At 38.3% G+C, this 26,438-nt stretch overlaps 1 annotated feature.

Moving 5' to 3' along the window:
- Positions 22,555-23,754: an enhancer, noted in NCBI's record as "MED14-independent group 3 enhancer chr4:181748302-181749501 (GRCh37/hg19 assembly coordinates)". NCBI's record gives its function as "activates an origin of replication core promoter dependent on BRD2, BRD4, P300/CBP and CDK7 cofactors, and independent of MED14, by STARR-seq in HCT116 cells {active_cell/tissue: HCT116}" and the evidence as "EXISTENCE:reporter gene assay evidence [ECO:0000049][PMID:35650434]".

Below are 26,438 nucleotides of genomic sequence, written 5' to 3' on the forward strand. Positions count from 1 at the left end.
TGTCATGAGTCTCCATTCTGCCATGTTTCTTAGGATATTAACGTAACAATGTCAAATGGGATTGAAGCTGAGAAAAATTACCTGAGGGCATTTTTGTTTTGTACTTAAATTTTATTTTGTCACTTATTCTTATTAGCAATCATTAAGCAATTTAATAATTATAAGCTCCATTAACATTTTAATGAGTCTAGTGGCCATTGCTAAGTGTAATTAAATTAGTTTTATTGTATGATATTTTGAAGCTGTGATTAAATTAAGTTTTACTGTGCTTAGAAGAATAAACCTATAGAGATTGCTATTCACCAAACATCTTATTAACTTATAAGATACTGATAAAATAGACATTAATGGAGACAGGAGAAAAATATAATTCCCTATTGAGTCTATTCATGAGATAAAACTTTAATCATTCAGTTTGGAATCAATCTAATAATGACGGTGTAATTTTATTTAAAAGAGTTTTTCAGGTGGAGTTAGAGAAAAGGGAAGAAAGGCTGGATTCCTTTAGTAATGTTCTCCTCCTCCCCTAGTTCTTGCAGGTATAACCCACAGAGATGAGACTAGAGGAAGACTGACAACCTAGTGATCTGGGAGCAGATATGTGTAAACTGATGTTAAATGTTTTGGCACCAAATAAAATTTCCTTTATTAACTTAGAAACTTATTTTAGAAACGAAAAAGTCATGGTTTAAGAAGTGCTTACATAAACACAAATTAAGCGTCCTAAAATGAAAGTCAATGGTAATTTTCATGCGTTGGTATTTTTGGTGGTGGTGGTATTCTTTTTTTTTTTTCTTTTTTTTTTTTTTACTGTAAACCAGTTTGAAACCTCTGTCTTTCTGGCTATCACTTAAAGTTCCTCCTTAGAAGCTATTTGATTATACATAAATTGGAAGATGATCGTACATTACGTATTCCTTGTGCCAGTCTCTGGTCTTGAATGAATTTGGAAATTTGAGTCTTTATTGCTACTGCTGTTACATGATAAATTCTGAAATGCTCTCAAGAGTAAAATGAGATAGTCTTATTTTCTGATGAATTGCCTTATATAGAATGCAGTTAAGCATTTTACAGGATAGTAATTTGTATAGCATGTACAGCACATGTTTACTTATGGGAATTATGTGGTTTTGCTGTAATTATTAGATTCTATTGATTGTATTCCATTATGTTAATGTTTCTAAAATAAGCATATCAAGCAATTTTATGTCACATAATATTTCAGAAGCCTTGGGGATATTAAACATTTTTTGAATGGCATGGAAACATTTTATCATTAAATTTATTCCTTTACACTTTATTCCTTTTTATGATAAAGTTATGTGGATATAAATATGAATTCTAAGAATAAGGAGCAAGGTATTAAGAAATACTATTATCCCATTACCATCATACATTATATATATATATATATCAGTGATGAAAAATGAAAAATTAACCTCTAACATTCAATGTTGAATCATTTTTAAATCTGTTCTGACACATTTTTAGAAAGTCTTAACCATAGCTCAAATAAATTTATGAATAACCAATATATATCCCTACATTTTTCTTTATATGTCTAGAGTAAAACAAAACAAAACTTATTGTCACGTTAAGATCATGAACGAGAGACTTCTATTGATATCCTTTCTACTAAAACTTTTAAATTTCCCATTGGAGAATTCAGTAATGATGTTCCACATGAGAGGGGAGTTTACCTTGGCTTTTACCATCACTAGGACACTCACTTCAGTCATTTGTCATTATCTTTTTTTTTTTTTTTTTTTTTTTTTTGAGATGGAGTCTCACTCTGTCACCCAGGTTGGAGTGCAGTGGCACAATCTTGGCTCACTGCAACCTCCGTGTCCTGGGTTCAAGCAATTCTCCTGCCTCAGCCTCCCAAGTAGCTGGGATTATAGGCACCTGCCACCACGCCTGGCTAATTTTTGTATTTTTAGTAGAGACACGGTTTCACCATGTTGGCCAGGCTGGTCTTGAACTCCTGACCAGGCGATCTGCCTGCCTCAACCTCCCAAAGTGCTGGGATTACAGGCGTGAGCCGCCGCACCCAGCCCTTGTCATTATCTTTATTCTCTCTCTGGATAATCTTAGTCATTTCAATTGCTTTGAAACGTTCTTGGGGAAAAAAATTAATGAACTCTACAATGAATTAACCACTTCTACATCTGTCCACTTGACTGCTTTACTTGGGTATCTCTTGGACATTTCAAAGCTAACTTGCTTTCATTCTTTCCTCTCTTGTAAGGAACCTGAACCATCTGGGAAGCAGTTTCTCAAACCAGAAATCTTGGTGTCATACTGATTCCTTCCAAAAAAAAAAAATAATAAACAAAATGTAAAGTTTCTTTTCTTCCTTCTTTATATTATAAGCTCCAAGAGGGCAGAAACTTCATCTCCAAGCTTACCACTGAATCCTCTGTGCCTTCCACAGTGTCCGGTAAACAGTATGAATTCCTTATTCTCCCTTTGCGTGTTTGTAAGACTAGCTGATTTTCATTGTGAAGGTCTCGATTTTCAGACAGGCATTCCCTGATAATCCCATTTAAAATAGCCTTACCTCCACAAACGATGGAACCTCGCACAGTGCAGTTTGAATTTCATCACATCCAGGTCACACTCCAAAATTGTTTCCTATCTGTTTTCTCCACTAGAATAGATACTGCATGAGGTCAGGGACCGTATTCGTTCTGATCATCCTGGTATCCTTGGAATCCACCTGTGCTTGACAAATAGTTTGTATGTAAGAAATATTGTTAGATGAATGACTATCAGCAGAGGCTTTCAATATGTTTTTAAATTTTTTATTTAATGTATAAAGCATTTCAACTGATGTGATGGGTTTCCTATGTTAAATTTATTTTCTTCCCTAAAAAAATCGATGACTTTTGCATGTTGTTTAAAGCGAGTTTCTAGATCTCATCTTTTGATGCACAGTCTTAAAATTCTCATTTTAAATCCTGAGAGCTCACATTTTAGAAGAGTAACAATTGATAGTTTATGTTGAATGTGTCCTATTATGTGGCAAATATTAACTTTTCATCTTCAAAAAATACTCTCTAGTATACAAAATTATCTTTAATAAGGAATAAGGATAGTAAAGGCACAGTTCATTATATAAGTTTTCTAGGTTGATCCTGCCAGAAATTGGCAGACCCAGTACTGAAACCCAGGTAGAGGCTTCAGAGCCAGTGTTCTTATTTACTAATTATCCTACCTGAAAGACTACTGACCTAATAAGTTACATTTAAAAATATATATACACTATTTGATTTTATGATGCTATGGTCTTGTAAAACATCTAATGTACTTTGGTTAAAGTACGTTATTTCATTATTCATTGAATTCCCTTTCAATAAAATAGACACTTTTAATGTAATATCTATAGAATGTCTTAAAGTGGTCAGGGAGCAAGAATTTTAAGTATTATGATCAAGGATGTACCTGTGACATTCTCTGTCATGTTTGTTTTCCCTTGAATTGGGACAGTTTATTTTTCTATAAATTAGCCAAGGTCAAGTCCAGTAGTAAAATTTCTACATGGCTATTTGTTGATTTATATTTAAGTTGACTTAGTTATTATTTCGTGGTTGGAAGAGATGAAAATGAAAGCTTTGCCAAGAAACCCCAGCAGCCTGTGCTGAGGCTTCTCTGGAGCACCTTCTCTGCATCACTCATAGCTTTGTTCCTTGGCATTTGTACTTGGTCAGGCTGCAGCGCTTGAGGTTAATGCCCAGCGGACAGGTCCGAATGTACATTGGATCCCATCATAATAAGCATGCTTACTTATGAGACATGGAACAGATGAAAGTTCCACCCTGCCTTTGCCCAAGAGCCTTTGGGAAGATGGAAAAGGATGAATCAGTCCCTTGTTTGCAAAAAGTGTGACATTAATCATCCAACATTGTGAACCGCTAGACAGGTGTCATTTGTTTTTTTAAAGTTATGCTATGTTGTTTGTGGAGCTGCATAAATCTTCCAGTTCTTTTAAAACAGTCTCCACAGGTACAACAAATGGGAAGTGAATCTGTCATTCTTGAAAATGTTAGAGATCAGCAAGTGCAGAGTTACTGTAGAGCTGACCTTCCTCCTTCATTACTGGCTGCCAGAACTATAAGCGGAGAAAAGATTGAGGACGTAAAGACAATAGAGTGAACTTCAGATCATGTCTGGAAAGGGTCACACTCATAAACCACAGCATGTATGTAGGAATTTTTTTTTAAGCCATGTGTTCAAGAGGACCAGATAGTGCAGTTTTTCTGATCCATTGTGTAAAAGTATACATTGGGATGTCACATTCTGAGTAATTTGTTATACAATAGTGCTTTAGTGGTGGAGAAAAACACCCTTAATAAATGAGAAGAAAACACATTCCAGAGAAGAAAGGCTGACTCAGTTGATCATTATTAGTTTTAATCACCCTGCGATTTCAGGAATGTTCTCAAATAGCCTTGGTTCAAGTCCAGAGCACAGAATTATCATTTGGGCAGCACGTGATCCAAATGTCATGAGGACAGGACTTTGACCATTTGTATATCATAATATTAAGTTTGAAGATGTCTGGTTAGGAAGAGAAATTGAGGATGGATCTCTGAAACATAATAACCTTAAAGAATATCTAAATTAGACTGGCTTGGTGAGAGGCAGGCAGTGGGGCCTGTTAGTGGGTAGAATTTGCACAGAATTCTGGATAGACCTAATTCATTTTATTGCTGAATACATGAGTGAAAACTAGAGCTCAATTATCTGATTACAAGATGAAAGCAACCACATCTGTATTTCCATAAAGAATAAGAGCCTGGCAATTCATTCTTTACAATATAGTTATCGGTGGCAGCTAAGGTCATCTTCTCTGAAAAAAAAAAAAAAAATCTGATATTTTTCTTTCAAGTTCTGTCATGTACATTTCCAGCTCTATTAATCATACTGCAATGGGTCTTTTAGGATGACGTAAATTTTGTGATAGCTTATCTTATATTTGGATTTGCAGTCCAAGGACTTGTCCTGAGTCATTTTTGACTCTTGGTTTATCTGCTAACTTGCTTGTGGCCGCAAGTTACAGAAACTCGGATGTCAACTGACTCAAGCAACAGGGGATTTACCTCACACTTAATAGGAAACCTAAAGATAGAGCTTTAGAGCTCTCTCGTTCATCCACCAAGGGAATGCTATGTTGCTTCCTTCTTTCACCCTGCACCCCCACCACACACATACCCTCTGTTTGGGTTTAATTCAATCTAGTATCAAGATGGTGGGAGCAGATACGAATCTCAATTCCAAACACTTGATCACTTAGGAAAAAGAAAAAACATATCTTCTTGTTTATCTCTCCTGAAGGGAAAGACAATATTCCCAGAGGCTTACCCCAGAAGACAACCCTTGCTACAACACTGGCTAAAATTCCATCACATGCCCTTCTTACACAAGTGACTTGGCAAGAGGCATTATATTAATCTTATAAAAATCAGGAGCTACACCGGGGTAAGAGCTCAAGTTAGTTTACTCAGATGCATTTGGCTCTGTGGGGAAAGAAATATGAGGTTCTGTTTGGAAGGATGAAAAAGGGATTGGATGGAAGGTAGACAGACCATAGTATCCATTATATAAATTTAATTTGCTCATGTTATTATGTGTATTATGTCTATACAAATAGATAATGTAATCAATTACATTTGCAATGCACTGCCAGACTTTTTGGGGGGCAGCTGACTTACCATACTGATGATATATGTTTATGTTACTATTACAATAAATTTCTTTATTGTAGACTGCGTTAAATAAGCCTATTTGAAATAGGTGTCAGAATATAGCAGTCTGGGATTAAATACAGGTAGGGCTTATCCACAATGAAACCTTTTTATATGGATAGTAACAAACTGATGTTAACATGTAAAAACTATAAAGATGGATATGTAAGCATGCTTATGTACAACCAACTACCTCTCTTGCATTGTTCTGGGATAAATACTATGGCCCATTACTATACAGAGTGCAATGTACTTGAGAATTTACATGCCGGTCACACCAAGACTCTCTGCCTTCAAACACAACTTGACTATTTCACCCCACCATGTGTGTAGGGATTCCTGGAAATGCACTACTGTCTCAAGGGAGAGCAGTTTATCCTGGTTTTGTCCATGTTATGCTAATTACAGCAAAGGAACACTGGCTTCTGACCAGAAGTACATCTTGGTCAGAAAGCTCTGGCTGTGAAATCTGGGGAATGTATCAGCCTGGGACAGCCAAGGAAGCTGGGTAGCAGCATCTGGACACAATGCACATGCTTCAGAGAGCTGGGGGATGCCTTCTGTAGGTGTGCATAGTGGAGGCAGCTCCTTGTCAAGCTAACCAGCCCTCTGCTCTTCCACTTCTCTCACACAATTCTTCATGGAGAGCCAGATGGCCCTAGGGTGGTGGAAGTGGAGGAGAGAAGATGTCCCTGTGTTAGTCTCTTCGCAGGTGCCTGGTGGAGATGTCCGGACTAATGTCACTAATAGTGAAAAGACTCAGAGCCTGAGTAACACCTCTGCAATTCCGAAATGGAAGGAAAGAACAGCTCAAATGGAAATCTGTTCAGAAATTAAATGTGCATCATATGGCTAAGAATGAAGGTTCTAGGGGGACTAAATTTATCCCTTCACACTCCGTTGAGAAGATTGGTTCCTGCAAAGGACTAAGTTCCTAGTTTGTTCATGTGCATGGACATTTTCCAGGGAACATGATAACCTCCGTACCTACCTTTAGCCACCTCTTGGGCTTAAAATTACACTCACACCTGTAATCTCAGCTACATGTGAGGCTGAGGTGGGAGGATCTCTTGAGCTCATGAGTGTAAGGCCTCAGTGAGCTATGATCACACCCGTGTACTTCACCTGGGCAAGACAATGAGACCCCATCTGTGGAGAAAAACAAGACTGTAACCCGTTATTCCTATCTGTAAATTCCTTTCATCTCTCCTTCTTTCCTTCCTTTGTTATTTTTAGCATTAACATCACTTATTTGATCTGACATTATTAGGCAAAGGAAGAAATAAGTACAACATTCATTTAAGACTGCTGCTTCTAGAAACAAACGAAAAAAAGATTATCTAAGAAACCTCCTTCTACAAAACCACAGAAATGTTGGATAGACTGTAACAAAATTGTTTTAATGGCATAGCTGAGTTTCAAGAAAAGGAAACTCCCAGACCCCCAAATGACAAGGAAGCCAAAAAGCAGAAGTGAGAAAATGCTGAACTATGGCTGCCCTGAGGGGCATATGCCAGTCTCCTTAAATAAGAGGCATAGTTTTAAGGACTATAGGGAAAACATACAAGCTTTGGAGCATTTCCAGGTATAGAGGCAGCACTGAGAATTCCACATGTACATCTGTGACCCTTGAAATGTATACTCTCAAAAGACTATATTTGAAAATAATCTGCCAGTCTGCGAAAGGAAATGGCAAAGAAAATGTGTCTGCCTGGACTCTAGGGGGAAAAAAAATGCCTCTTCCATTTTGCACAAAAAATTCCTGAACATTCACTGTTTTCAAATGGGTTTAGAGTTTGAATTTCTCACGTTAATGTCCAGGAAACCCTAAGCTGAGAAATGAATTTAAGTGGTCCCAGGTTAGAAGTGCTGGAAGAAGCAGATACAAATGCTGCTGGAGGCCTGTGCACTCGATTTAACTTGTACTAGGTATCCACAGTAAAGATGGGCCCCAAATATGAAATTAAAAAATACAAAGTAAAGCTAGTCACCACATGTAAGATTCAGCAGAAACAACCAATCAACCAACCAACCAAAATTATACTTAGAATCCCCCAATAATAGATTTATTTGTGTGAAATACAAAATATGTCTTAATAATTAAAGAAGTAAAATTGAAATTAAATACAGGGGAAAAGGGCAAGTTATAATTAAAAAAAAAAAAATCATCCCAAGCTACATGTCGTGGTGCATGCATATCATCCCAGCTACTCGGGAGGCTGAGGTGGGAGGATGGATTGAGTCAAGAAGTTGGAGTTACACCTGGGCAAAATAGCAAGATCCTGTCTGTAGGTAAATAAATGAACATAAATTTAAAGCATTATTCCAAAACACCAGAGTGTTAAAAATAAGCTAAAATGAAAGGAGATCTGTCAGACATACAACCTAAATTAGTATTCCATATATATTTCTAAAAAATCAATGAGAAGACAATAAGATAGCAAAACATACAAACAGGAATTTCACTAAGCCTCAAGTGGCCAATATGCTTAGGAAAAGGTATTCATCCTCATTAGCCATCAGGGTAATCAAGTTGAAATCACAACATTTTATACCAATGATGTTGGCTATAAACAAAAAGTGAAACTGAATTTTTTTTTTTTTTTTTTTACAAGAATGCAGAACAGCAGGCGCTTATTCTGGCATTACTGGGAAAGTTGCAAATGTGTTTATCCTGTGACCTAGCTATCTCTGGGCTAGATATACACGTATGGAAGATGTGTACAGAAATGTTCACAGAAGTCATAATGTGTAATTACAAAAAAACTGGAAATAATACAAATGTTTATTGACAGAATTGAAAAATAAATTTTGGAATATTTATATAGTAATGCACTATACACCAGGAAAGACGAATGACCTACCGTTCAATCTCAAAAACAAAAATGTTGAGTAAAAGTAGCAACTTCAAAATAAATGGATACACCATTATTTCTTTTATGTAAAATGCAAAAATGTAAATTAAAATATTAATCAGAGATAAATCCACATATATTAAAACAATGAAGACAAGAGAATGATGTACAAACAATTCATAGCAGAGCTACCTCTGTAGGGGAGAAAAGAGAATGGGGGCTAGGGAGGACAGTCATAAGGCTTCAAAATACCGATAATTTTCTGTTTCTTAAGATGCCTGGACGTGAACGTGGATTTTTCATTCATGTATTTCTCTTTAAAGCATACATTAATTATATATATTCCTTTACATAAAAGGTAGTATATAGGTCAGGTGCAGTGGCTCGTGCCTGTAATCCAAGCACTTTGGGAGGCTGAGGCAGGCGGATCACTTGAGGTCAGGAGTTCGAGACCAGCCTGACCAACATGGTGAAACCCCGTCTCTACTAAAAACACAAAAAATTAGCCAGGCGTGGTGGTGGGCCCTGTAATCCCACCTACTCAGGAGGCTAAGGCAGGAGAATCCCTTAAACCTGGGAGGCGGAGGTTGTAGTGAGCTGAGATCGTGCCACTGCACTCCAGCCTGGGCAACAAGAGCGAAACTCTGTCTCATAAAAATAAAGAAAAATATAGTATATAAAAATAAAAATAATACAATATAAAAGTAAAAAGCCATTGAAAACATAGTAAAAATACCAAGCTGAATTGAAAAGAAATCACATGGAATTTCTAAATATAAAATTAACTATAATTAAAACAATTTTAGTTATTTTAGCCACTTGTGTCAGGAATCTGGAAAAACTTTATTTTTATCAAATAATAAAACCCTGGAAATTTAAGTCCCTTTGCTTAACCATAGAATAAAATTAGTTATTTCCATAAATTTATCTATCTTGATGAGCTAGGCAATTCTAAGCTTTTTTAAAAAATTTTATTTTTAGGCTATTTCATAGATGGTAAATCAGTTTTTTTTTTTTTTTTTCCTTTTTAGGCTATTTCATAGATGATAGTGGCACTTTTATTCTGACTGACTGTAGATATTGGCTAAGGCAACATTTTGAGACAATTTTACAAAGTCAAATTCTTATTTTTTTTTTTTTATTTTTTTTTTTAAAAGAGACGGAGTCTTGCTCTGTCACCCAGGCTGGAGTGCGGTGGCGCGATCTTGGCTCACTGCAAGCTTTGCCTCCTGGGTTCACCCGCCATTCTCCTGCCTCAGCCTCCCGAGTAGCTGGTACTACAGGTGCCCGCCACTGTGCCCGGCTAATTTTTGTATTTTTAGTATGGATGGGGTTTCACCGTGTTAGCCAGGATGGTCTCAATCTCCTGACCTCGTGACCCGCCCGCCTCAGCCTCCCAAAGTGCTGGGATTACAGGCGTGAGCCACCGCACCTGGCCGTTAAATTCTTTTTCTAATTGAAAAATCATAGCTGTATACATTTATGGGGTACAATGTTACGATGTGTATAATATGCTATGATTAAATAAAGCAAATTAACATATCCATCAACTCACCTATTTTTTTATGGTGAGACATTTTAAATTTACTCTTAGTTATTTTGAAATATGCAATACACTATTATTGACTACAATCACCCTGGTGTGCAGTGAATCTCAAAATTGATTCCAAAATCTATTCCTCCTGTCGGAAATTTTGTGCCCTTTGATCAGCAACTCTTCACTTTCACCATCCCAACTCCCCCAGCCTCTGGTAACCATTGTTCTACTCTGTGCTTCTGTATCAAGTTTTTATTATGATAGTTCATAAGCAAGGAAACTTTTTACTGTAATACTTAAGGGAAGTTGTGCTAGAGTTGACTGAAACTTTCATGTGGTTGCAACCTTAGATAAGTGATTTGATAGTCATGCTGGTCTCTTTTCTCTTCTCTATGCTCCCTTGCATGTGAAGTCAAATCATTCTGTGCCTGCCCTTATGTGCTTCCATGGAGATGGGGAAGCCTGCAGGATGGATCTGAGCGAGGCATACAGTTGTGATTCAGATTTCACAGTCTCCCTCACAGTCTTCACATTCAGATGAAAATGCACATTCAAAGGAGCTATTTTATTGCATACAGTTTGCAGTGTCAATGGAAATTTGATAGAAGAATGAAGTCTAACAGCAAGCGTATTATAGTTTTTGGGATTATGAGTTGATTTTCAGCACATGAATAGAATAGAGAGACATAAACAGATTTCTATTATGCTTTGCTAGAAATTTCATGTTAAATTTTTCCCTGTGAAGACATAGGTACACATAACTACTTAGGTATTTAAAGTTTCCAATAAGAAGAGGAAACAGCAATTTTATTTAAAATTAATTTAGAAAAATCTACGTGAAAGAAATATTTTTATAATTGCATATATTCATATAAATGTGGAATAGGATTTGCATTAGATTTATTTATAATATTTGCTTGTATGGAAGTGATTTTGTGTATAAGTTTTAAAATAATTACAGATATACAATCCTCACAATGAAGTATTTCATGTGTCCCAAACCCAGTCAAGGGGAGATTTAATAATGCAATTATCCTTAGATTCTTTATGTGAAAATCAACAATCCTCACTTATACTAGTCCCAAGAATGTAAGTTGATATTTTCTACTGCTATATTTAAAATACAAACAAAAATAGCATTAAACTCTTTTAGAAAGCTATTAATAATAGGCCTGGGATTAGCTTTCCTGAGATCAGATGTGAAGCTGTTAGATGGTTTTCTGGCATACATTTCAAACAGAAATAAATAGTCTGTATAGCTTGAGAGATTTAGGAAGGGAAACCCAGAACATGAGAGGCATTGGGAGATAATGTTTATTAGCTGAGTGACTATTTCTTATGATTGTTGAAAATAATTGTATCCATATTACTCTTTGTTTAAAGGTGGTTACAATTCAGATGACTGGATGGATTTTACCCAATATGACTGGTTTTAAAATGATTTCAGTCTTTCTCACATCTTCTTACAAATATGGTGAGGGCATATATGTTTTTGCAAAACCTCATGCATAAGGAAAAATAGCGAATGGCACAGCTTAAGGCAGATATGCAGGATATATAACGGACAAAGGACACTCTAGAAGGAAAAACTGTTCTCCTACTCACATCACTTCTGACACCAAATGGAGCAATTTTCCAGCAATTAAAGTGTGGGACACCAACTGGTGTCCAGAGTTAGCAGGAAACTGCCCTACCGCCAGGTGAAGGGCTCAGTCGCACAAGACTGCCTACACTTTAGACATCAGTTGTGAGTCTGGAGTGCTCGTGGTACCTACACTTCTGTTTATCTTGGCTGTAAATGTGAGATTCCTACAATCCCTCCCCAGTTTCATGAGTTTGCTCAAAGGGATCAGAGAACTTGGGGAAACACTTAGGTTGACCAGTTTAGTACAAAGGATTAAAAGGATACAGATGAACAGCCCGATGAAGAGGCACATAAAATGAAGTATGGGGAAAGGGTGCAGAGCTTCCATACCCTTTCTGGGCCTGCCACCCTCCCGGAACACCCCTCCCACAGTACCCTGAAGCACAAGCAAACGGACCTGTTGGTGGCAATGGAAGCAAGTTTGTCCTCTCCCATTCTAAGTGCGCCATAGCCCATTAGGGTCATTGTTCTCTCAGATCCTGAGGCATATTTTCATTCCCAGAGCCTGGCAAGGCCCTACAGTACCAAAGCAGGGAGAAAATAAAACACTTTTCTATATACTTTGCCTGAAAAATTCTTCCTTAGAGAATTCCATTGAACAAAGGAAGGAAATCCTCCTTCCACTGTGTGGAAAGTGCTTCCTGGCTCAGATCTTTTCGTCAGACACCTCCCCGTGGCCATTTCTTTAGATACTCATTCAGAAACTACAGATTGAAATAATGCCAAACAAACAGGCACAGAAGTGGTTAGTGCTTGCTTCACTCCAAAATGTGAATTTGGTCATAGAAGCAAAACCTGGAAGAACCAAGAGTGTTAGGCTCCTTGAAGAATGTTGGCTTTCATGTACCTTCTCTGGCAAGGGAAGAATGGCTGACTTCAGCTTATTCACAATAAATTCCACTTGGTTGTCTAACCAGGGAGCAGGAAAAAGATTTCTCTCTAATCCAGCAAAACCCAGATACGTGATTGGTTTAGAGCCACTCCCGAAAAATGATTGATGGAAACTGGCTATTTGGTCATCCACATGGATGGACTGCCTTCTAGGTTAATGTTCGAAAAGAGGATTCTGACAGTCACAGGAGGGTTGTAAGGAGGGAAGCTAAATAAGATCTGCCAAAACTATTTATGGATGAACAGTATTCTTGGTGTCAACTGAAGAATCATGAGGTTCATAAATTCGGAAAGGAGAGCTTTATTTGTCATAAAAGGTCATAGCCCATAGGCTGACCATCTTGCAGGCTAGGATGTATAGCCTCTGGTCAGAAGCTGACAGCAAGCACTTCCAGGGAGCAGTAAAGCATACAGGAATTTATGGCGAACGGGTTGGCTAAGTTTACATATTCAACAGGAATATGTAGTTAAAGGAGGAGCTATGAATATTCATGGAGGGGAGGCTCATGCATGTGTAATAGAGTAGGCTAACATGTACAACATGCGTCCCATGTTCACTTTGGGGTGGAGACTTAACATTTAAGTGCATTATAGTTAGGCCCTATGCATCAAAAGGTGAAGCAGGGACACGAACGTCCTCTGTGCACAACCTCTGTAGTCTGGCCAGAACTGCTCCATGGTCAGTGGTCTCTTATCAGGATGGAATGCTGGTCAATTGCTGTGTGAAAACGACCAAAAGGAGAAGCAGCATCAGGCAGTTGGTTGATGTCAGCAGTGGAGTGTGTCTTTCAAAAAGACTAGTTTCGGTTAGACCCTTAGGGAAGAAAGCCTGTTGACAGCAAGGGAGAGATGTGTCTGACCTATTCCATCATTGCCTGGATGTTTTTGAGGTTTCCCTGGGGTCCTTTTGACCAAGAGCGATTCTGTTCAGTCCATTTAGGATTTTATTTTTCTCTCTCAACTGGCCACAACTTTCCCTATTCAAGGTGAGAACACACAGATATAGCAACTACAAAAGATTCTGCACATAAAGAGGACGCTGAGCACAGGATAGTATAGCAAAAGAATGTTTTATGAAGACGATTTGTTGAGGAATGTATCTAAAATGAAGGAGCATCAGCAATTTCTGTTTAACACTTTTTTTTTGAAAAATCAAAGCATTACATTCAAATATGAGTAAATACTACAGTACAGAAAAACTTAGGGAAAGCAACGCAACCATGTTCCTCCATTCCTGTCCCTATCCCACTTCCCAGAGGCAAATTCTAGCAAGTTTTTCTGTCCTTCCGTATTTGTGTGTTTCTGACTTCAATTTCAGACAATTATCTATTTATTCTTATTTATAAAAGAGGAGGACTCAGTCCCTCCTCATTACTTGCCTCCCAACGTTTGAAATATGATATGGTTTGGATCTGTGTCCCTGCCCACATCTCATATTGAATTGTCGCCCCCATTGTTGGAAGTGGGGCCTAGTAGGAGGTGATTGAAGCATAGGGGTGGTTTCTCATGGTTTAACACCATCCCCCTTGGTGCTATGTCGGCGGTAGTTGTCCTGAGATCTGGTTGTTTAAAAGTGTGCAGTACCTCCCCGCTCCCTTTCTCTTCCTTCTGTTCTGCCTCCCCTTTCACTGTCCACCATGATTGCAGGTTTCTTTCTTTCTCTTTTTTTTTTTTTTTTTTTTTGAGACAGAGTCTTGCTCTGTGGCCCAGGCTAGAGTGCAGTGGTATGATCTCGGCTCACTGCAGCCTCCACTTCCCGGGTTCAAGCAATTCTCAAGCCTCAGCCTACCTAGTGGCTGGGATTACAGATGTGCACCACCACATCTGGCTAATTTTTGTATTTTTTTTTTTAGTAGTGATGGGGTTTCACCATGTAGGTTACTTGAGGCCTCCCCAGAAGCCCAGCAGATACTTTCTGGATAGCCTACCAAATCATGTACCAATTAAACTTCTTTTCTTTATAAATTAGCCAGTCTTATGTGTTTCTTTATAGCAATGTAAGAACAGAATAATACGATATATTGTTACTAAGATATTGAAAACATTCACTTCTTTGCCATATGCTTTTAACAGTATCTCTTGATAATCCTATTAGTGCCCTCGCTTTTCCTTTATCATTTTCTTTTAACGTCTTATTTTCTGTTACTTTTATGCTGTCAGGATTGTTTAATGTATGCCTAGCCACACAGTACATGTTTTGCATTCTGTCTATGCATATTTTTGTGTGTATACATTTATGTAAATATGTGTACATAGCCTCTAAACCAATAATTTACACTATCAAAAGTATGTTAATATTATTTCATATCAGGACAAGAAGTATACTAAGATTTTCTTTCTTTCTGTTCTAATATTGTGTCATCTTTTAATTTTTTTGAGACAGTTTCACTCTTGTTGCTCAGGCTGGAGTGCAATGGTGCGGTCTTTGCTCACTGCAACCTCTGCCTCCTGGGTTCAAGTGATTCTCCTGCCTCAGCCTCCCATGTAGCTGGGATTACAGGCACCCGCCAACATGCCTGGCTAATTTTTGAATATTTAGTAGAGATGGGGTTTCACCACGTCGGCCAGGCTGGTCTCAAACTCCTGACCTCAGGTGATCCGCCCACCTCGGCCTCCCAAAGTGCTGGGATTACAGGTGTGAGCTACCATGCCCGGCCTGTGTCTTCTTTTATACATCAGTGCTTTAGGTTGCATCACAATTTTGTTTGCTTTGTATCTGGACTTTGTATGTGGACTATAATATCCTTGTACCATTTTTCCCCCTTAAACTTTCTAATTGCAAGTAAAGAAAATATGCAGAAACACCAAATTCAGATAGAGATTTCTGCTATAAAGAGAATAAAGCATGGTTAGAAGAAAATCAGTGACTGTTGGAGGGGCTCCTTCAGATTGAGCCATCAAGGAAGGTGTCGTTATAAAGATGGCATACTGGTTGAGACATGACAGATAAGAAGGCACCCAATGGCAAGATCTGGGATGTTAAAGAATAAATTATCCATGGCACTTGTTTGTAAGGCAGACTTGACTCAAGGGTGTCCATGGTGATAGGTAGAGGGAACACTGCAACAGGGTCTTGAACAAGGGAGAAAGCCTGGATTCAACTGGGGATCCAACAAGAACAAATGAGGGTTTGAACCAAGGAGCAGGGTGGGGTCAGTGCATGGAAAATTCCTAAGAAGAAACATCAAAGATAAGGGGTTTCTGGCTAAAGAGACTTGACATGACAGACTTACTGCTGAAGGCAGGCCAGGGTGATGAGCTATCTAGGGTGGTCAGATATAAAATATACGGAATTTTCACTTGGAAGCATTCTTTTTCAAACCAAATTCTACAAGAGCAGGGAGAATTGAGAGAGAAGCTGAAGGTCAGGCCTACTCAGAAAGGACTCCGGGAGATTTCTAAAGTACTGTTCAAGGGAGAGTTTTTGTCAGGGGGAAGAATCTTCCAAGTTGAGGAAGCAGTAATATAGGTCCAGTATGGGAGGTAAAAGAAAAAAATTAAAATGCCATACATTTTGGCTTGGGTAGTTGGGCCAGGACATTTATAGATATGAGAAAGACTTGTGAAAAGTAGATTGGGGTGTGTTTGGGAGAATATTGAGAAACTTGAAAATTGAAATAAATGTAGATACAATGTAGGCATCAGATATGTAAGTCTGTGTTTTGGAAGAGGGGGTCAAAAGTGCAAACACACAGTTGAGAGTCATCATCAGCGTGTAGATGTTACTTGGTGCCATGGACTGGATGTGATAATTTTGGGAAAAGGTATAGAAAAAGAAGTGAAGAGACAGGTGTCTAGTACCAAGCCCAGGGAGCTCCAGCATTTGGAGATACAGCAGAGAAAAATGACTTTACTGATAATATCACCAAGAAGCAGTCAGTGAGAATTTTTGAGGATTTTAAAAGTCCTGCTTAGTTGATGAAGTATCTTTCCAAATATCTTTCTTTTTAATATCAATTTATTTATGTTGGTCTTTTTCCTGGTGCTTGTTGCCCACATGTCTAGCAGTTTTGGTTGTGTTCTCGTACTTAAGACAGAAGAACCAGATAGCGGGTGTAGGTTTCCTCTAATTCTCTAAAAACAGGTCTGTTGTATACTTGAGGGCAAGATGGGGCACATAAAGCTGTGAAATAATAATAATATATTTTGGGATTCAGAATAATTCTCTTTTATTCCAGTTATGCTTCTCTGATTATGAGACTGTTTAAATATTTAGGTTGCACTTTCACAAATCATATGAAGTTGAAATATCTACATAGCTTCAGAGCATGGAGTGATACGGAAATAACTTAATTTTGTCTATTGTCTATAAGCATTCTGATCAAAATAACTAATTTAGAAAAAGCCACAAATAGAGAAAAACAGTAAACAAAACATCATAGTTGCAGCTGATTTCATTTGCTGATATTTTTACACTATTACTAATAAAGATGCAATTTAAATGACTAGGATTTTGCTTTGATTCTGAAAGTAAGGTAAAAAACACAAATGGGAAAAAAGCAAGTAGAGAGAATTGACTTACTGCTGTCGACTTGCTCTATTTTCTTATCAATAGATTGTCATTTTATGGGAAAATTCATATGTATTTAAAGCAGCAGAGTGATGGAATGTACAACAGAGGTTTTCAAAACAGTCAATTTGAATGTATTCCATGAGTGCTATTCTTAATAGAAACATACATTACAATGTTGATCTTGCTCAGTGTTGTTATTTTGGCATCTTAAAATTTCTGTTTTGTCAAAGCCTGCTATTTCATTTAAAAAAACAAAAAAACAAAAAAACAAACAAATCTTTTTGCAAGACTAACCTCAAAATAAAGCCATGTCCTTAGGTACCAAAATTACAAACTCAGATGCCTATAGATTTCAAGGTTGGTCTTTATTAACAAGGTTCATTTTCAAAATGAGAGCCTCAAACAATAATCTCAGCAAACTTGTTTCCAGCCTAATGATTGTGCTAATCCAGGCTGAGCAGATGAGAAATAAAGAAGCTTGTCTCCCTATAAACTCACGTTTATGACTCTAATTTCCAAGTTCATTGTTCTGTTGATTTTTTATTTTTGGTTTCGAGCCCTATTGTTAAAAACAAAAAACTTGACACCATAGCACTTATGACAACCACACATAAAGGCTTTTCTTGGTGGGATATCTGAGTGTTTGAAATATTTATATAATGACTCACTATTATAGTTTAGATCACCTAGCAAAATCAGTGGTATTCTTCCAAGTCTTTGACCCTTGGATAATCAATTACTTATGATCCTCTTATTTTGGCATTGTCTATTTGATTAGTCTGAAAAACACCATGTCAAAGATAGGAGATAGGCAGCCCACAGGCCATGTTTGACTACGCAAATGTTTCTGTGAGCCCATGAAACTCCTTTTGAAATTTTGATCCAACATCACATAACAATCCAGATTTCTGTCATCTTTTTAAAAACTGGAAAGAAGTGGCGATTCATGGCAAAACATCTTTAGAAGCTGAGTGTTGGCAATGTACTCTTACTCTCCCATCCAATACAATCTCCAAAATTCTTAAAATATTTACCTCTGCTACCAACCTGTTCTCTGTAGGCATGTAAATTTGCCGTTTTTATCATTGGTTCTTGTGTTTTGGAGATCTAAGAAGGAAAAACACAATTATTATCAGTCCCTCCTGGACAGATAATGCACGATGGTGAGACAAGGATAAGACAATGGGGAAAATATTCCCCTCTAGAAAAGGAAAGAAGAGGAGGACACAGCAGTAGCCGGGCAAGGCAATGACGAAATTTTTCTGGGTGGTCGCAGAGAGGTTCTCTCGACCTGGTGGTGGGAAAAGTCCCTTGATTGGTTCCTGATTCAGAATTCTGGGGCAATTTGCTTGTGTATTGTTCTGTTTTGCCACTGAGACTTTCCTCGTTGTTTTTTATTGTATTCTCCAAAGGCAGGAATCTGTTTAGCACATGTTCTCTTCCCAGGTTTTCACAATCTTTCTTCTTCGTGCAAGAAAGCCTGAGGATGTGATTAAAATTCAAAGAGTCAAAGGCTGTTTGAGCCTGGATTTGTGGTTTCTTTGGTCATGCAATTACCTTAGTAACCTAATAGACTTCTCTATTTGCTTCCAGTTAATTTTTATGTACCAGCAACCAAACCCAAAGTTCTTTCTCAGGCATAATTCTCATGACTGATTTCTCTTTTGGCCTCTCTCTCCCTCTCTCTCCCTCTCTCTCCCTCTCTCTCCCTCTCTCTCCCTCTCTCTCCCTCTCTCTCCCTCTCTCTCCCTCTCTCTCCCTCTCTCTCCCTCCCTCCCTCTCCCTCCCTCTCCCTCCCTCTCCCTCCCTCCCTCTCCCTCCCTCTCCCTCCCTCTCCCTCCCTCTCCCTCCCTCTCCCTCCCTCTCCCTCCCTTTCCCTCCCTCTCCCTCCCTCTCCCTCCCTCCCTCTCCCTCCCTCCCTCTCCCTCCCTCTCCCTCCCTCCCTCTCCCTCCCTCTCCCTCCCTCCCTCTCTCTCCTTCTCTCTCCCTCTCTCTCCCTCTCTTTCCCTCTCTTTCCCTCTCTTTCCACCCCGCACCCCCACTACCTCATTTAGCAGCCAACCTGAGGCCATTGGACATAATGGACTTGGTAGGAGTCCGTACATTTAATCCTATTTGTGACCCTGTCGGGTTCTTAATGGGCTTTGTTTTTCAAAGCCTCTTTAATCCTTACCTTTTACTGTTTGAAGTCTAGAACAATTGGCTTTTCAAAATCTTATAGCTCCCATATTTCTAGACTCTCTGAAGTTCTTTACCTTCCTGCTTAGAATCTGCCTTAACTCATCCTTTTCTTATAATACTTTGCTAAAAACTGAAAGTAATGCCAACACATACCGTGACTCTTCCTTCTTCCATTAGTTCCATCCAGAGGTACGGTTATTCTGCCTTCCAGGTTACCATAGACCACTCTGTAACATGGTTCTACATCTTTCCAACCTCCTGTTTTTATTTCTTGCCAGGACAATACCAGGTACTTTTACTTTACCATAGTACTTTGAAGGTATCAATTTCTATATTGCTTAAGGTATTACTAGCTTCTGGAAAAGATAATTTCCAAAATCTCAGTGGCTTAACAAAACTATATTTTCCCTTCACGTTGAATCCAAAATAGCTGCTGCTGGTCATAGGAGGACTCTCCTCACATGGTGATTCAGGAATCCAGGCTCTTTCCATCCTGTGTCCCAGTCATATTCAGCATTTGACTTTGAAGGGTCTCCATGCTTGTGTCAAGCAGGCAGTGAGGAATAACACAGAAGGTTTTATTGTTGTTGTTTTGTTTTTCTTTTCTTTCTTTCTTTCTTTTTTTTTTAAAGAGACAGGGTCTCACTCTGTCACCCAGGCTGGAGTGCAGTGGCCTGATCACAGCTCACTGTAGTCTCTCCTGGGCTTAAAATCCTCCTGCCTCATCCTCCCAAACCACAGGCATGTGCCACCAAACCTGACTACTTTTTTAAAAAAATTTAGTATCGATGGAATCTCACTATGTTGCCCATCCTGGTGTTGAACTCCTGACCTCAAGCAATCCTCCCATGGGCCACTATGCCTGGCTGGAAGATGTTTTTTTTTTTAATGGGTCAGGTATGTACAAGGTGTACATTACTTCTACTTACAACCTATTACTGCACCTTACTGCAAAGAAGAAAAGAAAATATGATTTAGGCTTCATTTCCAGGAAGGAGATATAACAGCTTTGGTGATTCGTTAGCAATCTCTGCCACAGACCCTGTGTCTCAGTTCATTTGTGCTGCTATATACCTGCATAATTTATAAATAATAACAATTTATTTCTCATGGTTCTGGAGGCTGGGAAGTCCAAGATCGAGATACTAGCAGACACAGTGTCTGGTGAGCTTGCTATCTGCTTCCAGGATGACATCTTGTTTTATTCTCATAAGGGAGAAAGGCAGAAAGAGCAAAAGGCACTAGGATGCTCTAGTCACCTCTTTTATAAGAGCACTAATCCATTCATGAGGATGGAGCGCTTAGGACCTAATGAGTTCTCAAAAGGCCTCACATTTTAATACTATCATCTTGAGTATTAGGTTCCAACGTAAGAATTTTGGACGGCCGTATGCATTCAGACCATAGCATGGTGTATTCCCAAGTACTGAAATCACTACACTAGGGGAAAATAGTGACCGTATGATTTCAATATTATTGACTGAATTTCCTCACATTTATATTGATCCCAATGAGTATTTAACTCTGTATATGTTGCAGTTATATACTCAAGTGGCTAGTTTATATTAACTTGCTGGCTTTGATTGTAGTTGTGATAGCAAGGTCTCTATGTTTCAATATGTTCTCTATTTTTAACCTCTGATTATAAGGAGTATGAAGGCATCCTTTCAAGGGAAACAGTAAAAGTAAATGAAGTTATTTTGGTTTAATCATGTGCTAGTCCCTATCTTTAATCAGTGGGATAGGCTCCAAGGCCTATAGCTGTGGAAACATCTGAGTGAATTGACAAGTTGGATTCAAAATGTACTATGAATTTATATAAAATTTGTAAATATAATGTTTTAAAAAGTAGAGACATTTTAGTACCTTGAAGACATAAGGTTGCTATCTATCTTTTTAGGCTTTTGTAGTTTTTGTTTTAGAACAAAGGCTCAGATTTCTTTTTCTTTTTTTTTTTTTTTTTTTTTTGTTTTGAGATGGAGTCTCACTCTGTCACCAGGCTGGAGTGCAATGGCATGATCTTGGCTCACTGCAAACTCCGCCTTTGGGGTTCAAGCAATTCTCCTGCCTCAGCCTCCCAAGTAGCTGGGAGTACAGGCGCCTGCCACCACGCCTGGCTAATTTTTGTATTTTTAGTAGAGACGGGGTTTCACCATGTTGGCCAGAGTGGTCTGGATCACTTGACCTCATGATCTGCCCGCCTCGGCCTCCCAAAGTGCTGGGGTTACAGGCGTAATCTTAAATCTTAAAAGTTTAAAATGTCTTCTATTTTTAAATGACTTTCATAACTTTAATGCACTATTTCATTAGGACAGTGATTTGCAAATGTTATCTTTGATTTAAAGTGGTCTTTGTGGTTTTTACTTTTTCTAAGTATTTAAATTTTCTGGTAAAGAAGGGAGGCTTTGTAAGGCCTAGAAACGTGTCTTTATTTTTATTAAGTAGATGGGTTCAAGACAAAATAAGGAGGAAAAGATGGAAGGAAGGAGAGAAATCGTACTACCTTGGACTAAAAATAACATTTGGTGGGTGCAGTTGGCCCATGCCTATAATCCCAGCACTTTGGGAATCAAGGCGGAAGTATAACTTGAAGCAAGGAGTTCAATACCAGCCTGGGCAACAAAGTGAAAATCCCTCTCTATAAAAAAAAATAAGAAGAAGAAGAAGAAGCAAGGCATGGTGGTGTGCACCTGTAGTCCCAGCTACTTGAGGGGCTGAGACCTGAGAATTGCTTGAGCTCAGGAGTTGGAGGATGCAGTGAACCATGATTATGCCACTACACTCCAGCCTGGGTGAAAGAGTGAGACCCTGTCTCTAAATAACAATAATAATAATAATATGCTTTATAAAAAGGAAGGAAAGAAGAGCTGAAAAGAAGCATCTTGGGTGTACTTTCTCTTTCTCCACCACTTTTCTTGTGAGCATAGTCCATAGTTAGTAGAAAACTGACATGCAATAGACATGTGGGATGCTGAGTGGTCTTGTCACCCAACTTCGCCATTTTCACAGAGGCCTAAAGATGCTGCATGTCTTGTTCAAGGCTACACATATTCTTAGTTTGAACCAAATTGCATATTTAATAAGAAATGTTAAATCATTTTTTTTAAGCCAGGGCCAAAAGGACTTGGAAATATTTAGAAAAAGTATATTTTGTATTTGTACATAAAATTCCTACACCTGCCTATAAGCACTCTGTAACTATTTTTCCCTTACTGAAGAATTTAGCTTTTGCTAGAATTTCAAAAGCTACGTAATTATCTGCACACAGTGTCTTGTATCTTGGAACAAATGTTGCAGGAGCTGAGATCTGCCGCTGCTGAGGACTGGGCACTGAAGTTCAGCCACAGTCCAACACGTGAGGTGACTCCTAGGTCAGAAGGAAGCAGAAGGGATGAGGCTGCAGGTCCCAAGGATCTCCCCGTGAGGTGACAATCTGGGTGATATAACAAGCAATGGTGAGATAAAAGGTCACAGGGATGCAGGACACAGTGTGAACCACTCTCTCTCTCTGCTATGTGGAAAAGCTTTCACTTTCACTTTCCCAAGAGAAGAGGGAATTGTCACATCCTTCTTTCCAAGTTGATGTTTCTCTAATTCTTTGCCCCATCCTGTTGTATGTTTTGTGTATCTTATCCCCAAAACTATTCCCACAGCAGCATGTTTAGCTAGTGACTGAGCCCAGTGGGGACAATAATGTATCAGCTGCTTTATTAGAAAAAGGAAGAGTGGGGGGCTGGCAACCAGTTTCCATTTGGGAGGACTCTGTCATGGTGAGTAGACAGGACGATGACTCAGCAGTTATATGATTTTCAGGTTCTGTATCCTGAAATTGTCTGAACATGCAGTAACACATAGATGAGGGCTTACTGACAGATGCGTAGCTTGCACGTACAGTTTCTTTTCTTCCCAGAACTTGTCTAAACATTGGAGTCATTTGTTGCCTTGGGCCTCACTGCCTGAAGCATCTCTCTTCCCTCTGAGTTCCTGACTCCAGCTCCGTCTGGCTGCAGAGCAATCTCAGGTCTGTGTCCTTAGGTGTTTGATTCCAGCCGAGACCTGGCAGAACTTCCTGCCTTCCAGAACCAGCTATGTCAAATACACATCGCGATTATTTTACTGAAGGGGCTTCAGCCACCTCCGCACATTGCTCAGGCTGAGTAAAAAATAGAGACCATTAACTGCGTGTGTACCTTATTACAGAATTAACATTTAATTCTTATGCAGTGTGTGAAAAAATGTATTTCACCTCCAGAATATCCCATATACAATCTTAATTTTAATAGAAAGAATATGCTCTGCTATGTGACGCTTAAGATACTGGGACACACAGTAATATACAACTGATATATGCTGATGTGGCAGGTGTGTTAAGTAATTCAGATATTTTTACAGCAAAATTAAAGCAAATTAATGAAGATTAGTATCTGAGGTTTGCCAATCCTCTTGTATAAATAAAATAAACATGAGGAATATTTACCTTAAATGGAACCTTGAATTTATCACTTGTATCACTTGCAGAAATGAGAATTTGTTAAAATAAATACAGGGCCTATGTCAATGGTAAAAAAAATTAAAATTTTACATTTCTACTTGTAAGAGCATAATTCCTTTCAAGAATAAATAAGTAGCACATTGTATCTGGACAACTAGGTGGCGCTGGTGTATTATCCTTTCAATCCCAGAAAAGCAAATTCAAATATCATCTTATATATTCCAGCTCAGTGGTCAGACATGCATGTGATCCTCAGCTGCACGTTTCAGTGGTAATTTAGAAGAGACTCATGAGTGAATATTGGAAGTGCTGTCACTCTGCAGGGAACACTAACTACTCTCTAGCTTCCCATTGGCATGTTGCAGATACAGACCTTGAATTCAGAATCTTACTTTTAAAATTTCTAGAAAATCTGGTATTCTTCTGAAGGTAGGAAGCATTTTGAATTAAAAATGTCTTTGGAAATGTGGATCCTTACAGATACCAGAATATTTAAGAGAGATTATTCAAAGCAATTTTGTTACCATCAGAGGTTTTAAAAATGAAATTTCACAGGACACAGCCAAAGGGACGCTTGTAAGTAATTAGATCCTACATAAAGACAGTATTTAAATTTCAAATGTAGACTTGCGAAATTACATAATAACATCAGGTACTTGTGTCATTCTAATGGTTTTAGGCGCTGTTTAAGTACTTTGCATATATTAACTCAATTATTCCCACAACAGCCTTTGAAGTATTGGATGAAGTTACTGGGAAACGGAGAGAAGCGGTAACTTGCCCAGTGCCAAGCAGCTACAAGTTCTGGGACAGAGCTTCAAATACAAGAGAATTTTCTGTCTTGGTCACTATTCTTTCCACATTGCCTCTTAAACAGCCTGCATAAACACTTCTTTAAACAATTTTAGTGTGACACAGATGCTTACAGTGCAAAATTAAAATAAACTTAACAGATAAATTAGAATTGGACATTTGTCTGATAGCAACATGATAGCTATAAGATCAATAACTTTCCGTCACAGAAATAATATAGAATTTAAACTTTACTTGCATATAATCTAGATAGAAAAATTTGCATATAAGAAAAAGAGTGTGAGACACATCAGGAAATGTATCAAGATACTGTTGAACTGGCTCATTTAAAACCTGAATACCCAGGGGACATCACCAATATTGTCCTCAGATAATGATGTAGAAATGCATTTCCTTGAATATATGCTTATCTTTATTTTCATCAGTAGGATCCATGAGAAATAATGAAAAGGAATCTTTTGTTAAAAGATAAGTACAGGTGTCTTCGAAGTAGTTCAACATGCCATGGGCAAACCTTTACTGAGTACTTAAATAAAGCAGAGATTATGCCATGGAAAGCATGAGAACTGAAAAGAATATGGCTGTCTTAGTTTTCTACTGCTGCGTAACATATTACCATATTTAGCAGCTTAGAACTGCACCCATTTATTAGCTCACAATTCTACAGATGAGAAGTCCAGAAGTCCTGGACCCTCTGCTTTAGGGTCTCACATAGCCACACTCAGGGGTTGGGCTAGCCTGAGTTCTTACCTGGGAATCTGGAGAAGAGTCAGTCAATTCAGTTGCCGGCAGAATTCAGTCATGTGCAGCTGTAGGATTGAGGTCCCTGTTTCTTTGCTGGCTATTGACCAGGAGCTGTTGTCAGCTTCTGGAGGCCACCTATATTCCCAGGCTTGTGGGCCTTCCATTTTCAAAGCCAGCAATGCCACGTCAAATCCTTCCTATGCTTTGAATCTTCCTGACTTCCCATCATGCCGCTGTCATCACCTTTTAAAGGATGTGTGTGCTTAAGTGAGGCACATGCCAGTTAATCATGGTATTTTAAGGCAACCTGATTTGGGACTTTAATTACAACAACAGAACCTCTGCAGTGCGTAGATGACTGTTTGAGTTACCAGAAGATAGGAATATTAGGGAGTCATCTTTGGAATTCTGACCCACATCATCAATGGCTACACCATCAAGAGGCACATTTTGTTCATCTTATGATTCCTTGTCAGTGGACACACTTTTCCTAATGTCAAGGTGACTATTGACGTGGATAATGAACTTGGAGATTAAGCCAGAATATAGTAATAACCACCATGAATTAAGTACATGGAATATGCTTGGTGTCTCAAACACACTTTCTCCTTTGATCCTCACACAACACTTCAAGTATAAAGCTGAGCTTCATAGACTTTCTGCAACTTGCTAACATCAGACAGCCAGTAAATGAGGGAGCCAAACTTCAAGAAAAGAACTGTATGAACACAGTGTCTGTGCTTTTTGCAGCACAGCATGAAGGAAAAAGGATCTGAGAGTCTTGTCCTTGAGAAGAAAGTTACACTTCAAGCAGAAAGATTAAATAAAATTTGTTATGCAACATCAATATGATTAATGATTCATTACAGATAGTATAAAATGTTTTATATGTATGTACCTGTTATTCCATGTTCATTTTTATCACACTAATTAAGAAAGTTTTATATATAATGTGTATATGTGTATGTTTTATATATAAAGTATATAATGGAAATTAAGATTAATTCAAAGATGCTAGAA

Source organism: Homo sapiens, chromosome 4, assembly GCF_000001405.40.
Source record: "Homo sapiens chromosome 4, GRCh38.p14 Primary Assembly".
Classification (NCBI taxonomy): domain Eukaryota; kingdom Metazoa; phylum Chordata; class Mammalia; order Primates; family Hominidae; genus Homo; species Homo sapiens.